Genomic DNA, 16748 nt, shown 5'->3' on the forward strand with positions numbered 1-16748 from the left:
TGGAAGAAAACCATTTATCTCTTTTGTAATTCTGAAAATTGCTATGTCATGGCATATTCCAACCAGGAAATACTTAGCATAAGGATAACATTGATAAATGACATTACGAAAATGGTTAAGAGGCCGGCACAGTGGCTCACAGTGGCCTGTAATCCCAGCACTTTGCGAGGCCAAGGCAGGCAGATGGCTTGAGGTTAGGAGTTTGAGAACAGCCTGCCAATATGGTAAAACCCTGTCTCTACTAAGAATACAAAAATTAGCCAGGCATGGTGGCAGGTACCTGTAATCCCTGCTACTTGGGAGGCTGAGGCATGAGAATCACTTGAACCCATATGGTAGAGGTTGCAGTGAGCCGAGATCACGCTACTGCACTCCAGTCTGGCTGACAGACGGAGAGTCTGTCTCAAAAAGAAGAAAAAAAGAAAATGGTTAAGAATTTTAGCTATACAGAATAGTGATTTTCAACTTGAGGTGATTTTGTGTACTGACGGGCGTTTGGCAGTATCTGGAGACATTTTCGGTTGTCAACGTAACTGGGAGGGGGTGCTACTGGCATCCAGTGGACAGAGGCCAGGGACGTTCTCCTACAATGTAGAGAGCCCCTAAAACAAAGAATTATCAGCTAGCCCCATTCAGCCTTTCCTCACCCACAAAATGGGAATTCTAACAGGATGTACATGAAATTTGTAAAACACTTTATTAAGCCTACTTTGATTTTTTTCATCCACAGCACAGTCCTATGGTTTAGTAAAGCAGGCATTTGAATCTTTGTTTTACATATGAAGAAACAGAAGCTCAGAAAACTTATGAAACTTGCTCAGATAGCAAAGCTCTTAGGTGACAATGGTGGGCTTAGAAAGAAATTGATTTCTAATCCATGCTTTTCCCACTATAACTTTACAGATGAATGACAGAAAACTACAGAGGCTTAGAGACTTCCAATCTTTGGTATTGCCTCAACTATCAAAAGATTTCTTTTGCATGCCTGCGAATATGAACTCAAGATGAGGAACAACTACAAAAGAGGCTAAGCTGATTAAATTAAATAATGCAAAATGGACCTTCCCAATGAAAAAGAAAAAGTTTAAAATTTGGCTTAATGTCTTCTTTTCATCTGGTTTTTATAGTTTCATTTGCCGAGCACATTATGTATTTTTAAAGACAACATGAAACTGCAATCATCCTTGGGAACAGGTACTGTACAATGCATTTTATTCCTTATATTTAAAAGACTGTGAGTTAACATATTTCAAACGCTGATTTTGTGTTCCCTACCATTTATCCATGACAAGAAAAATTACTTCCCCTAACTGCCATTTATTTTAAGAGAGGATAATTTTATTTTGTTCCACTACACTGAGAAAGATCTCTGTATTTCATGTTTTTCATTTTATTCCCCAAAGTAAAAGTTTTAAAGCTTCTCAGAGCATATGACTATAGCTGCAGCTTAAGGTTTTGCTGGTTGTTATATTTCTGGAATATAGTTACAACGTATAAATAATTATTTTAAAAAACAAAAGACAACCTTTCCTCTCGGTTATAAGATCTGATTTAGTTCTGTACACCTGAATAGTGACACTTGGAAATGGAGAGAGGGAGAGGATGTTAAGATGTCTAAAAATGATGTCTCTGCTTTGAGTAATCTCTAAAAACAATCTTCTTAAACCACAATAAACATGGCCAGGTTGATGTATCATTGACCAAATGTAAGTTTGGGATGCATTAATACATTTGTGTGACACGTTAAACATTTTTTAATGTTATTTTACCCTAGATAACAAATTTATAATAACTGATTTCTCAACATTGATTTAGAACTTTTTATCCTCTGTTTTGTCTTTTCTTTTTTTTTTTGAGAGAGAGTCTTGCTCTGTTGCCCAGGCTGGAGTAGAGTGGCCTGATCTTGGCTCACGGCAACCTCTGCCTCCCGGGTTCAAGCAATTCTCCTGCCTCAGCCTACTGAGTAGCTGGGATTACAGGCGCATGCCACCATGCCGGCTAATTTTTGTATTTTTAGTAGAGATGGGGTTTCACCATGTTGGTCAGGCTGGTCTCGAACTCCTGACCTTGTGATCCACCCGCCCCGGCCTCCCAAAGTGCTGGGATTACAGGCATCAGCCACTCTGCCTGGCCTTAGAATTTCAATCACTAAAAAGACATATCATCATCACTGGCTACATAGAAAGGCTTTAGAAAGGACTCTTTACACTAAGTAGACAGACACAAATGTTCCTTTTAAAAAGGACATTGTTGACTTAAAAAAAAAACACAAAACTTTCCTTTAGATATGTATTTTTGTCCAGTGCATGTTCAAAGTTATGATCTGAAACAGGCTGTTTTTATGGTGGAAAAGGAAAAGGACAAGGAAAGTTTATGCCCTTATATTATAAAATCCAGTTTCTTGGCCAGGCGCGGTGGCTCACACCTGTAATCCCAGCACTTTGGGAGGCTGAGGTGGGTGGATCACCTGAGGTCAGGAGTTCGAGACCAGCCTGGCCAACATGGTAAAATCCCCTCTCTACTAAAAACACAAAAATTAGCTGGGTACAGTGGTGGGTGCCTGTAATCCCAGCTACTTGGGAGGCTGAGGCAGGAGAATCACTTGAACCCAGGAGGCAGAGGTTGCAGTGAGCTGAGATCCCACCAGTGAACTCCACAGCCTGGGTGACAGAGTGAGACTCCATCTCAAAAATAAATAAACTAATTAATTAATTAAAACAAAATCTAGTTTCCAAGATCCAAATTTCCTTTACAAACATACAATATAAATGTAAAAACAAAAATAAAATTAAAAACTACAACTTTTTCTAGCAGCTAGCAAATATACTTGATGTCTTAAAATAATACTGGGATTAGGTAGTTTTTTCTAACTTACTAATTTGGCGTTAATTGCGACCATGTTGAGGATACCCTAGACTCAACTTTTTGTGTTGGATAAATACTAAAAGATATTCCTCTCAAAAGAAACTATCATCAGAGTGAACAGGCATCCTATAGAATGGGAGAAAATTTTTGCAATCTATCCATCTGACAAAGGACTAATATCCAGAATCTACAAAGAACTTAAACAAATTCACAAGAAAACAAACAACCCCATCAAAAAGTGGGCGAAGGATATGAACAGACACTTCTCAAAAGAAGACACTGATGTAGCCAACAAACATATGAGAAAAAGCTCATCATCACTGGTCATTAGAGAAATGCAAATCAAAACCACAATGAGATACCATCAAATGCCAGTTAGAATGGCGATCATTAAAAAGTCAGGAAACAACAGATGCTGGAGAGGATGTGGAGAAATAGGAAAGCTTTTACACTGTTGGTGGGAGTGTAAATTAGTTCAACATTGTGGAAGACAGTATGGCGATTCCTCAAGGATCTAGAACTAGAAATATCATTTGACCCAGCAATCCCATTACTGGGTATATACCCAAAGGACTATAAATCATTCTACTATAAAGATACATGCACACGTATGTTTATTGTAGCACTGTTCACAATAGCAAAGACTTGGAACCAACACAAATGCCCATTGATGATAGACTGAATAAAGAAAATGTGGCACATATACACCACGGAATACTATGCAGCCATAAAAAGGGTGAGTTCATGTCCTTTGCAGGGACATGGATGAAGCTGGAAATCATTATTCTCAGCAAACTAACACAAGAACAGAAAACCAAACACCACATATTCTCACTCATAAGTGGGAGCTGAACAATGAGAACACATGGACACAGGGAGAGGAAGACCACACACTGGGGTCTGTTGGGGGGTAGGGGGCTAGGGGAGGGATAGCATTAGGAGAAATACCTAATGTAGGTGAAGGGTTGATGGGTGCAGCAAACCACCATGGCACATGTATGCCTATGTAACAAAACTGCACATTCTGCACATGTACCCCAGAACTTAAAGTATAATAAAAAAAATTTTTTTTAAAGATATTTCTCTCTCTGGGCTGGGAGGCTAGCTTCATTCATTCAATCGTTAATTATCTCCTATGTGACACTGATTGTTCCAGCCACAGCGCACACTGAGAAGGAATTTCCGCCTCCTGCTAAAATGAGAGTAGGAGAGGAAGTCAAGGAATTAGGTGATTCCAATCCTAAGGTGGAGTAAATTTAAGATGGACCTTAACACCTGCTTGGAGAAACAAGACTATTTTTGCATTATGAAAGCAAGAGAGCCTCCTGAGACACTACCCAGGAGGAAGCAAAGAGAGCCATAAACCCCGGCATGCCACGGAGTTTGGCACACACTTGATCCCCCTAGGATGCTGGCCTGCTAAATGAATGACTGGCAAAAAGGAAGGACCAAACAAAACACCAAAAATGTGAGAAGCAGTCCAATGAGGAAGAAGATCCTGTCCCTCCAAATTGGCAACAATTATGTGTGTAAGGGACAGAAACAATAGACTAAGGGAACATCAGTGTAGCCTTCCAACCCTGAACTTTCTGCACACATTCCATAAGAACTTTTAAAAGGTAGAAAGAAAAAAAGGTGGGTGTCCGTAAATTAAACTTTCACCCTGTATTTGCTTTAAGCCATGAGGCACTATGAAAATTTACATATAACTAAAAAGCTTGTTGATTTAAAAAGTTAGGCTGAGCCTTGCTATGTCTTCTAGCAGACATCTAGGTAAAAGGCCAGCAGTCCACTTACAGGATGAGAAGTACTTTAAGAGATGTGTATGTGGCAGAGGGAAGAGGACTACTGGTGCCTTTTCATCTCTAGATGGGGCTGAAATCAAGGACCACTATAGCAGTTACTGGATCTTGATCCTATTCTTCAACAAAGCAAGTAGGTCCTACATGTGAACTTCTCCTCACTTCTTTTAGAATAACTGGACTACGGACAGCATTGTTGGCATTGGATGGTGCTATTGTAACACTGTAGTGAACAAGCAGTTCTGATGCTCCCAGTCATATAAAGCAAATCTAGTAACTTTACTAATGAGAGCAAACCGATGGGGCCAACATTGATATAGCAGTCTTCTGATATTACATAAAAATATATTGCCTCTGAAGCACAAAACATTTGTAAGGAAATAATTCTAGGATACCAGTATGGGTGGGTGTTAAAGCACAAGATATAAAATGGTGCTACCTCAATACATGCACACACACTCACAAATCAAAAAGTCCCTTTAATTTCTCCTTCCTATGGAATATCTGCAGGAAGGAACCTGCAGAAGGGAACAGTGGCACTGCTGCAGCTTTGGCCTAGAGTGGTGTTTTGAAAATCACCACTGTGCTGCCCTATTGGCGACATGCCTCTGACCAAACAAGTTTATTCAGAAACAGAGTTTCTAGAGCTCAGAAATAAAGTGCTTTTCTATAGTATCAATTGAAATATTTTCAATTGTTTAAGGAGAGGTGCCTTTAGCAGCAAAACCATTTTAATATATCATATTTAAAGGAAACTATGCCCAGTCTTACATTAAGGTTAAGAAGCATGGCTGGTGAAGAAATGGTATGCTTACAATATCAGTACAACTGGAAATCCTAGGAGGGGCCATGAACCCCTATATTGTGGAACAAAATAGATTTCCACAGATGAATGGGTTCTGTCATTTAAACAGATTTATTTCAGTGGCAATTTTTAAATTCCTATTTTAGCTATAAATATTAATTCTTTTAACAGACATGCAACCAAGAAGAAAACTTGCTTCATGCAGACAAAACGCTTTCTGACCCACTGTGAAGGAAAGAGGAGGAAATAGCTTGTAAGGTTGCGACTGTGGATCCCACTAGTTATCAGTGGAAAAGTGTCATGGAAACACTATGCAGGCAGTATTGAGATACTTAACGAGTGGCCCTGAGGCCAGGGCTGCTTGTGCATGAGGGAATAATTCTGTCCAGCAGGAAGAATGGCAAAAGGTGACCTAACACATTTTTTAAGAGAAAGGGATAAAGAGGGTCATACCTGCCTTTGAAAACCATCCTGGACAATTTTATTTCACACCAGAAATAAAAAAGCCTTACTTCTATTGGTTGATATTCAACAAGTTCTTTATTGCAATTATTGAAACTTAGAGAAGTCAAGACTTATATTGCCTACTATAATTCCTGTTTAAATACGTGATTTATGATTATATGAATTATAGACAAACTTACAAAACACAGAAAGGTACACACAAAAAGAAAAATTTTGTGGCTACATCACTTAGGGATAACTACTATTAACATTTTGGATATATATTTCTAGATTTCTACTTTTCTGGACAATTCCGTATAGCTGTTTTGTGAAATAGCGCTTCTGAAACTAAATGTAATATGTATTGTGGTAATTTTCAAATAATATTATTCTAGGATATCTTTAATTGCTGCATTATATTTTACTACACATCTGCATCACTTAAAAAAAAAAAAGAGTAAGTGCATAACTTATTTCACCAGAGAGGAGCAGGGCTTGGGAGAGGGTGGTATTGACTGACAGTCCCAGGAAACACTTTCAAATAGTCCAGCCCAGTGCTTCTCAGGTGCTGTCTCTGGATCAGCATTGCTGGCCTCATTTGAGAACGTGTTAAAAAGGCAAATTACTGTGCCCACTCCAGACTTACTGAATCTAGGGGTGGGGCCTAGCAAGGGGTGTTTTAATAGGTTGTCCAGGTGATTCTGATGCCTGCTAGGTTTGAGAGCTGTTGATCTAGTCCAACCATTTTATATAGCTGAGCAAACCATCCTCGAGAAGGGAATTGGATTAAAGTGACATAGCTAATTAGGCGAGGACTCAAACACAGGTCTTCTAACTCCTACTCCAGTGTCTTCATTTCTAGACCAGTGCAAACTCAAAGGTGCTGATTTGGGTGCCCAAAAATCTTTTCAAAAAACATCTGTTTCCTCTAGAAGACAATAAAATTGTCAAGGGAGAAAGAAACAAATTATATCCAGTCCTATTTCCCAATATTAATAAAGGAGCCTGGGCCCACTGTTGACAAAAGGAAAGCCAAGCCCTTTTTGTTCACGATGTAGAGACTGAAGGGGCTAATATCTCAAATTCAAATTGACGTATCATAGAAAGCTAGTCTGTTAAAAGTTAAGTGAATGAATTTTCTGGGGGGTGGGAGTTAGCAGGGACAGCTTCTGATATGCCCTGATGTGGCATATGACTAGACTGTGGCATATCACATATGACTACATTCTTTTCTAAATCTAGTCACTCCACATGGGTCTCCAGCAAATTTACTTGCTTAGCTCAGGTAAAGAAAATGGTCACAAATTTGGCTTCAAAAGTTGGCACCAAAAGTTGGCAAAGAAACTGAGTCTTCCACACATTGCTGAGGAGGGGACTATGAGAGTAGAGCCATTCGAGAAAACAGTTTGGCAGTTTATTTTTAAAACTAAACATGTAATTACTACATGACCTAACAACTGCAAATTAGGAATTTGTCCCAGAGAAATAGAAACTTATGTTCACATAATAATCTGTACACGAATGTTTAAGGCAGCATTATTTTAATAGCCAAAACCTGGAGTCAGCCCAGGTGACTGGCTAAATTGTTGTACAGCCACACCATGGAACACTGCTCAGCAATAAAAAGCAGCCCACTATCAATACACATGACTCGGAAGAATCTCTAGGGAATTATGCTGAGTCAAAAAAATCTCAAAAGGTTACATACTGTATCATTCCATTTACATAACATTTTTGAATTGACAAAATTTTACAAGTCAAGGACAGAGCAGTGATTGCAGGGGTTAAGGATGTTGGAGAGGGGAGAGAGGGTGTGATTATTAAAGTGCAACAGGAGGGATTCCTGTGTTGATAGAACTGTTCAGTGTCTTGACTATGGTGGTAGATACACAAACATACACAGGTGATAAAATTGTATAGAACTCAGTACACCTATCAACAGACTGTTTAAATTTTTCAGTAGTTTGTATAAGCTCTTTAGTAAATGTTAATATGTTTTTGTGCAGTGAAGAAATTAAGTGCCAAGCATGGTACCATCTCACTAAATCCTTAAAAAATCCACTTGAATTAAATATCTAATTTAATTCTACCCAAATTATAAGTGAAGACTCAAAGGTCAGAGAAGCTAGGTAACTTTTGATCATGGCTGTAAGCTAGTAACAAGACTAGGGGTGTGAGTAGATCTCTGTCTCTGAGCTTCACATTCATTCCATCATAAAAGCTCCCTTCCATTTAATTATGGTGAGAGATAATTGCTATTGTAACTTTAATTGACGAAGGAATCCATAATCCAATTTTAAGTCAGATTTAGTGCAGTTGAAATGATGCACGCATTCTTTTTTTTTTGTAGAGATGCGGTCTTACTTTGTAGCCCAGGCTGGTCTCAAACTGCTGGCTTCAAGTGATCCTCCCACCTCGGCCTCCCAAAGTGCTGGAATTAAGGGTGAGTCACCATGCCCAGCTAGCACCCCATTTTTTTGAGAAGAAAGTAGATTACTTCTTTTGGATTAGTGGTAAGGAGGAGAAAGAAGAGATAGAATGGCAAAGTAAATCCTACTCTTAAGAGAAAATAATTATTTGATTAGAGGAGAAAACTTTGGCAGAGGAGGAGAGCCAACAGGATAGATGACATATTGGCCTGAAATCTTGGGAAGGAATTTTTAAGTTTAGAAAGCTGGATACGTCACAGTAGCATAGTTGAATCAGTTCAGTAAAAACGATTATGACTTGGAATAATTAAATAACAGGTAAGTTCTGGCAAGAAAGGAATCAAAATGTAACCAGGTGCTCATTTTCTTTAGCTATTTACTACTCAGACATTCCTTTGAAAATATACTTAAGACATGCAAATTTTAAAAAGAAAAACATGCTAATATAGCCATTTAAGAATAAATACCATTTATTTCTTAAGTCTATCGTTTGGACTTGCTGGAAATAAAGAGGGGATCGCAAAACAGTAATTAGCCTGTTTGTTTTAAAGGAGGGGTAAATAATGGCTTATGAGGAGTTTATAAACGGTCATACCACAGAGGGGAACAAGCTGAAAAGCTGAAGAGGATGCTATGTGATGTTTCACCAGAAGCCTTGGGTTTTTTACTTTTAGCCACATGGAAGGCAAAGGGCGTTCTTTTATACAGAACTGTTCACTGAACTTTTCCAGGTCAAGGACAGTGTAGGGTATGGGACCAGAAAAAGACTCTCAGCATTCAAAGCGGTAGATTCTCCATGAGAAGCTGGAAGTCTCAGGTGGCTACCAGGAAGGTGCAGAAAGGTGAATTCTAATTGATATGAAAAGACTGGAGAATTGGAGATAAAGTACAGTAAGTCCCCAGTTAATGTTGTTGATAGGTTTTTGGAAACTGTGACTTTAAGTGAAATGAAGCATAATGAACCAATTTTTTATCATCAAAGTTATAATGAAATGACATTGAAGGAAACAATATTATTCAAGGACCTGCCAAACGTCATTTTACTTAAAGTCACAGTTTCCAAGAACCTATCAACCACGTTAAACGAGGACTACTGTACATTACACAGAGAGAAGTAAAAACAGATTAGTGTAAGAAGTCAGCAGTTTGTACACTGCTAGAGGTGGTGGGAGAGCAGAAAAATATAGGCTCTTGGGAGAGCTGAGATTGAATGCCTCCCCGACATTTACTAGCTGAATGACCTCTTGGAGCCTTAGCTCCCTCCAGTTCTGCCCACCAGTGGTTGTGGGGATTAGTAATAAAGGACATAAATGGCCTGGCAGGCCATGGCACAGATGAGGCCTTTGATAAATGGAAGAGCTTAATATTATTATACTAAACCTAAGTGTTTCTTTTAAATATTGCTGCAGATGCATCTCTTTTGCTGTCTGCTGCTAATGAACAAATTCATGTTTAATTGTTTATTTTTAAAGGAGAAGCATAAATGACTAATTGTGTATATAAATATCCAAGGCTTAAATAAGGCTTTTTTTCCTATGTTACCCTAAGTAACAAAACATCTACCAGTGACAGTCACTGAAATTGCAGATATTGCATCTGAAGAAGAAACTATAAACCTATAGCATTTTCAAATATAAGAATGTAGGTTGCTTAGTGTAAAATATCACCTGGTCCTTGAAAAATAACTTGAAGCCCAGAGGCCACTGGCTGGATTGTGTAGGGGGCGTCTAAAGGTTTGTAATGGGCAACACTCCTAGGGATTCAAACCAGCACATCCTGGATTGCTGACATAATCCACTCCTGAGAAATTCAACTCTGAATCCAGGATTAATGATTAAGCCATGGACCTTTAATATATGAAACTATTTGGCTGAATAGTCCTTTACTAATACAGGCACATCTCACTTATTCTGCTTTACTTTATTGTACTTTGCAGATACAGCATTTTTTACAAATTGAAGGTTTGCAGTAACCCTGCATTAAGCAAGTCTACTGGCCCCCATTTTTCCAACAACATGTGCTCACTTCATTTTTCTGCATCACATTTTGGTAATTCTCTCAATATTTTGAACTTTTCCTTTAATATTATACCTGTTACGGTGATCTATGATCAGTGATCACTGATGTTACTATTGTAATTATTTTGGGGCACCACAAATCATGCCCATATATAGCCACAAACTTAATCGATAAATGTTGTCTGTTCTGTCTGTACCAATGACCAGCCGTTACCCTGTCTTTCTCCCTCTCCTAGGGCCTCCCTAACATCTCACACAAAACAATACTGAAATTAGGCCAATTAATACCCTACAGTGGCCTCTAAATGTTCAAGTGGAAGGAAGAGCCACACATTTTTCACTTAAATCAAAAGCTAGAGAGAAAAATGTTTGGGGCAGGTTAGATCAGTGGATACTAATTTTTTCACTGCAACATACCAACAAACAAGGCCCGCAAGACACAGCTCCTTACTCAAGTCTAGTCATCCCAGCAGTCCTCCCTCCCTGTTCAAACATCTGCTTTTGTTCTCCAATAAACCCTTAACAGTAACAATCTGTAGTGTACTTAACTGGTTTTTTTTAGCTTATAAAAAATTTCAAATGTTAATATATTCTCTAGTAAAGATACAACAAATCTACATACATTTATTACCCAGAAACAATGATTATGAGCTCACGGCCATTGGTTTCATCCAAATCCCTGCCACAGACCTCTTCTGAAGCAAATCCCAGTCCTATTACTTCACATATAATTCAGTATATATCTTTAAAAGAGAAAGACTACTATAAAAATAAAACCACAATGCCATGATCACATTTAAAATATCAATAATTCCTTAATATAACCAAATATCCTATCAGTGACCAAATTTCTCCAACTAGCTCATACATTTTTTTTTTAACAGTTGGCGTTTGTTCAAATCAGAATCCAAATGTGGTCCACATATTACAATTAATAAGTCTTTTACACTGCTTTTAATTAATAGGTCCCTCTTCCTTCCCTTTTTCTCCATTTGCAATTTGTGTTTCAAAGAAATCAGGCTTTTTGTTCTGCAGAGTTTTCCAAAGACTGAAATGTGACCACTTTTATGCTTTTAGTGTCCTTATGAATTCATGGATTTGAAATATATTTGATATGCTTTAATCCACTGCAGTCATTCTCACTGATACTCAAACCTGCCCATCTTTGTCAGTAAAAACCTCTTCAACTTAGAGCCTAAGTCCTTTTGACGTGATCCTAGTAGTTTATAATAATTTGATTACTTTTTCCCTCACTTATGGTAAGACAGAACTCAGTCTTGTCTTGTACATTTCTTATCTCAGACATAGAATCAGCCATTTTCCCAAGAAACATGGTTCCTTTTAGTGGGGAATGGTACTTAGCCACCACATCTGGAGATTGCCTTACTGCTTACAAAGCACTTTGAACACTTAACCTCATGTATACACATAAGACAAGCCACTCCCCTTCTGCAGGCCACTGCCTTCCCTTTTCAAAGTGCAGCAAGAAAACACCCTGCTTCAAGTGTCTTTGTATCCTATTTAGAAACAAGGTTCTAAACTACTCAGAGATGAATCTTTCTATCTGGTTAGCTAAGTAGGACAGGCTAGAAAATACTGTCTTAAAACCATCTTAACAATCGAGTCATTTTATCGGACAAACTAAAACAAAAGAAAGTTCATGAGTCCCTCCCTTTTCCACTGTAATTAAAAGGAAATAGCTAAGCTTTATTATCAGAAAATAGGAATGGAAAAAAGGATCTTTCTAGATAGAGAACTTAATTCTTTTTAAACTAGGTAAAGACATTCCTGTATGGGTAAAAGAAAAATGGAGGGAGGAGTGAGAAATAACTGCTTCCAGAAAAAGGCTCACCACAAAACTCCCTTGGGCATGGAATTATAAAAGTGACTCACTGCCTTATGTGGGGACAGGTTCCTGCTGTTAATTTGCTTGTCAAAACTGTGGAAGGATGAGGTCGGGCTGTTGCTGTGTAGGGGCTGTAAGCACTGGAAGGCTATGCCATAGAAAATTAAAGTAGTTCTGCATACCTGTCTGGCTAATTAGGAGGAGTATTTCTAACCTCTAAGGAAAATACTCTCTAAACTCACAGGATGTTTGGAAATGGAAACAAACAAACAAAATCCAGAAGGCATGTTTCACAGTGGTTTTTATAATTTAGATCAAATTTATTCAGATGGCCAAAGGTTTCTCAGTCCCTGAGTTTCCTGTAAAACTCAAACCAATTACGGGTAGTGGTGGGGGATGTAGGAGGGGAACAGGACTCCTACAATCAATGATAAAAAGCCTTAAAACAGATCCTTCACAAGAGAAGATAAAGCACATGAAAAGGTGCTCATATCATTGGTTGTTAGGGAAATGCAAATGAAAATCATAATGAGATACCCAGAATAGTTAAATAAAAGATTGGCATCACCAAATGATGTCACTGATGAAGACACGGAACAGCCGGAGCTCTCAGACATGGTTGCTGGGAGTGTAAAATGGCACATGCACTTTGCAAAAGTGTTTAGCAGTTTATTAGAAGTTAAATATACATCTATCCTACAACCCAGCAATTCCATTCCTAGATATGTACCTGAGAGAGATGAAAACAGGTCCACAAAAAGATTTTACCAGAATATTTACAGCAGCCTTATTCAAAACAGCCCCCAATAGGAAACAACCTAAGTGCCCATTAACAGGAGAACTGATGAACAAATTGTGGCATATTTATTCAGTGAAATACTTCTCTGCAACAAAAAAGAATGAACTACTGATAAATGCAATAATAGGGATAAATTGCAAAAACATTATGTTAAAGTGGGAGGTCGAGACAAAAAAGAGTACATACAGTATGATTCAATTTATACAAAGTGCAAATATAGACAAAATGAATCTAAGATGATAGAAAATAGAGACAATGGTTTTCAAAGAGGAACGATTAACTGCAAGACACCTGAAGGGAACTTTATGGGAAATGGATATGATCTAAATCTTCTTTTAGGATAATGGTTACATGGGTGTGTATTAGTGGTTCTCAACCAGGGGACATTTGGCAATGCGTGGAGACATTTTTGGTTGTCATAACTAGGGGAATGCTACTGGCATCTGGTAGGCAGAGGCCCGGGATGAACAGGACAGCTCTCTACAATAAAAAAAAATCCATCTTAAAATGTCAATAGTTGGGTACAATGTACACTATTTGGGTGACACTAATGGCTGGACTTCACCACTATACAATTCATCCTTGTAACCAAAAACCACTTGTACCTCTAGAGCTACTGAAATACGAAAATAAGAAATAAAACAAAAAGAAACTCAGCAACACCTTTCCTAACTCCAAAATGTGGTTGAAGATTGGGGGAAAAAATTTCATATTTCAATCCTATGAGTTCCACTGTTCAATAAATGCATTACATATACAAACTGTGCTTAATACATGTTTATTAAAAATATTAGGAGAAAGATGGATGGGGTATAGGACTTCTTGTCAACAGCTCTCCTTTCAAATACACTCTTCCTTTCTTCCCTTCCTCCACTGCATAACTTACTCACGTACTATGCTACTCGAAACTTCCTGAAGGCCTCAGGGAGATATTTATACAGCCAGGGCACAGAGACAGTCCTGGGGTCATAAAGCAGTGTGGGACTGGAGCAGGGCCTGGCTCAGGCTGCAGGTGAGTCAGTCCAGGTTTCCCAGGAAGCCTCAGCATTTCACTTGCCCCTCTCTGTAGTGCCACACTTTTCCTGGCCCCATGGCTCTGTGCTCAATTAATGCAGTCTGAAGTAGTCACAGGGAGTGTGGCAAGTGTGCAGGTGGGTGAGGACTTCTGAAGGGGTTACCCCTGTCCCACAGGTCACAGTAACAAACTGGCAACGGACTTCTGTGGTTCTCTCTGAATCTAAGAGAACATTCCTGATAACAAGTTAAAAGTTGTTCTTCAGTGGAAAGAAAAATGGATCCAAAAATATGCTGTGAACTAGTAGTTTAGGGTACCGGTACTATTAACTCTGATGTTTGCAGAAAACAAGTAGCTTACAACTCAGGTTACCAAAGTTGAATTGCATAAACATTTTCTTCCTTGGGGGAATCTGAACTGTATAACATTAGCCTTTCTGCCAGTGATTTTCAGGCCTTCCCTAACACTTACAATGGTACCCAGAATATATTCTCTGCTAAGCCTGGAGGCAGCCCTGTACAGCTAAGCCATTCAAGAGATATTATTCAGAAATGCCTCCAGAGGAGATGCTGCAGAGCTCCTTCAATATTCTGGCCCTCTCCACAGCTAAGAATTTTTTTCCTTAGGTTTAAATTAGCTGACTTTTAACATAAGCATTCACATCTGCTTTCTTTCCCTTTGTGCAAGGGTAGCTGCTTCAAATTTTGGGTGGGGCAAATTAGAACTCTTAGGTTGGAAAAGCTGCTCACAAAAACTTCATCACTTACTCACTCTTAGAAGCTTCAAGTTTTGTACTTGTCTGTCACCTTCATGTTGATTCTCTGGGATTCGAGGTCTATGAGCAATGAAGCCCATTAGCTAAATTCTTTTGGAAACCTGACAACATCGCACTGTGCAGTTGTTCCTGTGGGCACATCTGCTGCACAGTAGGGGAATGAAATTGGATGCGATCCTTCCCCTTCCTCCCAACTTCACTGTTTAAAATGGCACTGAGTTTTAGAAGTGATCTTGGGGGACTAGAAAGGCACCCTTGCACTTTGGTCACTACCCTCAACGTGTTCAAATGCTCCAGCTTTATGTTCATCATCGATTAAACACTTGAATTTGTGATTCCCGAAAGCTACTTCTTAGACTGGGATTCAAGAAAAGAGGAAAAGCACTGGTGATTTTAAATTCCCACACTTTGCCTGTGACACAGTCCACACACACAGACACTGAGTAGGGAACCAAATGCCTCTTCCTGACGACACTTTGTGCTTTAGATTTCCCAATAAAACCCTTGCGTATCCACTCCTGCCTGCAAAGGGACCATTCATGTGGAAGCACAACATCTTATCTAAATCTCTGTATATCTCTCTATGAGGTCTTGTACACAGAAGGTTTTCAGTAAATATTTGTTGCCTGGAATGAATGATTGGACAAATTAATTATATAACTAGAATCTAGGTTTATTACTTTTCTGCATCAACATCAGAGAAAATAACCTTTTATAGGATGGAGCTGAAAAGAGACTGGGAGATTTGTTATTTTCAACCCCAGTACTCTATTACTTCCACATTACTTGGCAAAACATCCTGCCCAGAAAATGATCTGCTCTTTAAAACTTTGCTCAGAGCTCTGCTCTGTACTGCCTCACAAGCCTCAAAGTTGAGACCAAGGTGCCACAGCCCTCACTGCTCTCCTGGTTCTGCAGAGACGGCTGTCACAGAGCAGCATTCCAGAGGTTCCATGGTGATTTCCTATTTTTTTTTCTTTCTTTCACAAAAGCTGTTGGGGTAACATTGCAAGAGTCCAAGAATTAGAATTAGGTGATACATTTTCAAGTTGAAAACATAAAAATAAACTCAATTGGCAACTGATTTAAAATGTAGGAATTAGGCAGGTGGTGACACTGACAATGTGAAGATTGTTCTGAGTGTTATTCTGAACACTGCAGTATAGTTGGGATCTTAACAATCACTGTGGCTCACCAATTTTTCAAATGTTTACTTTCCATGCATATTTTGTGTCATCCTAGTCTGTTTAACTCAAAAGATCTAATCCCACCAGATCACCTATAATTAGAGAGTGATGATGCATTCTTAGAAGACAAATATAGACACCACAGAGGTGATGCATCAGCAGTCTAAAAATAATTAATTCTTATCCTCACAAGGCCACCTACACCAAGACACTTGGGAACAGTTCACTATAGCCATAATGTCATAGAAGGATGGAAAAATCATTTTTCTTATCTGTAGAAGTAGGTCACAGCAAGAACATTTTGGCAAAAAAAAAAAAAAAAAAAAAAAAAAACTCAGGGGGGACATGAATAGATTTTGTGACAGTCTTTTCATTTATTACCTTAATGCAAGACTTGATCATCAGTTCATTGTGTACTCTCCAATCATCTTCCTACATGGTAAAGGACCAGAATTGAAGTTTTGAAATGCAGTATTTGGGGACACAGCAAAAAGCTTCATTACCAATATACTGCTTCTAAATGGAATAACAAGGGCCCAAACATTTGAGACAATAACTGGTTTTTGTTGTTTTTCTAATTACATGAAAATAAAACTTATAAATTAGAATACTTCTCACAAGTCTGAGCTAGGCAATATATAGTCACAGAGGCTAAAGGTTAGCTGAAAGTTTCCCATAGCAACCTTTTAAACTCAGCACATGGGCCACATGTGAGACAGATTTTATTTCTTTTGAGACTTTCATTTAAACACATTGATCAGCT

The 16748-nt window shown here is 38.6% G+C and overlaps 1 protein-coding gene across 11 annotated transcripts in view, besides 1 other annotated feature; it reads right to left on the reverse strand.

Annotated features, from left to right (window-relative positions):
• UBE3D (ubiquitin protein ligase E3D) overlaps positions 1 to 16748 on the reverse strand; it is a 185040-nt gene that overhangs the window by 14104 nt on the left and 154188 nt on the right. The window lies entirely within an intron of this gene.
• Positions 16012 to 16212: a silencer, noted in NCBI's record as "peak5926 fragment used in MPRA reporter construct". NCBI's record gives its function as "represses an SCP1 promoter by STARR-seq MPRAs in K562 erythroleukemia cells {active_cell/tissue: K562}" and the evidence as "EXISTENCE:reporter gene assay evidence [ECO:0000049][PMID:32103011]".

This window comes from Homo sapiens, chromosome 6 (genome assembly GCF_000001405.40).
Source record: "Homo sapiens chromosome 6, GRCh38.p14 Primary Assembly".
Taxonomy (NCBI): Eukaryota; Metazoa; Chordata; class Mammalia; order Primates; family Hominidae; genus Homo; species Homo sapiens.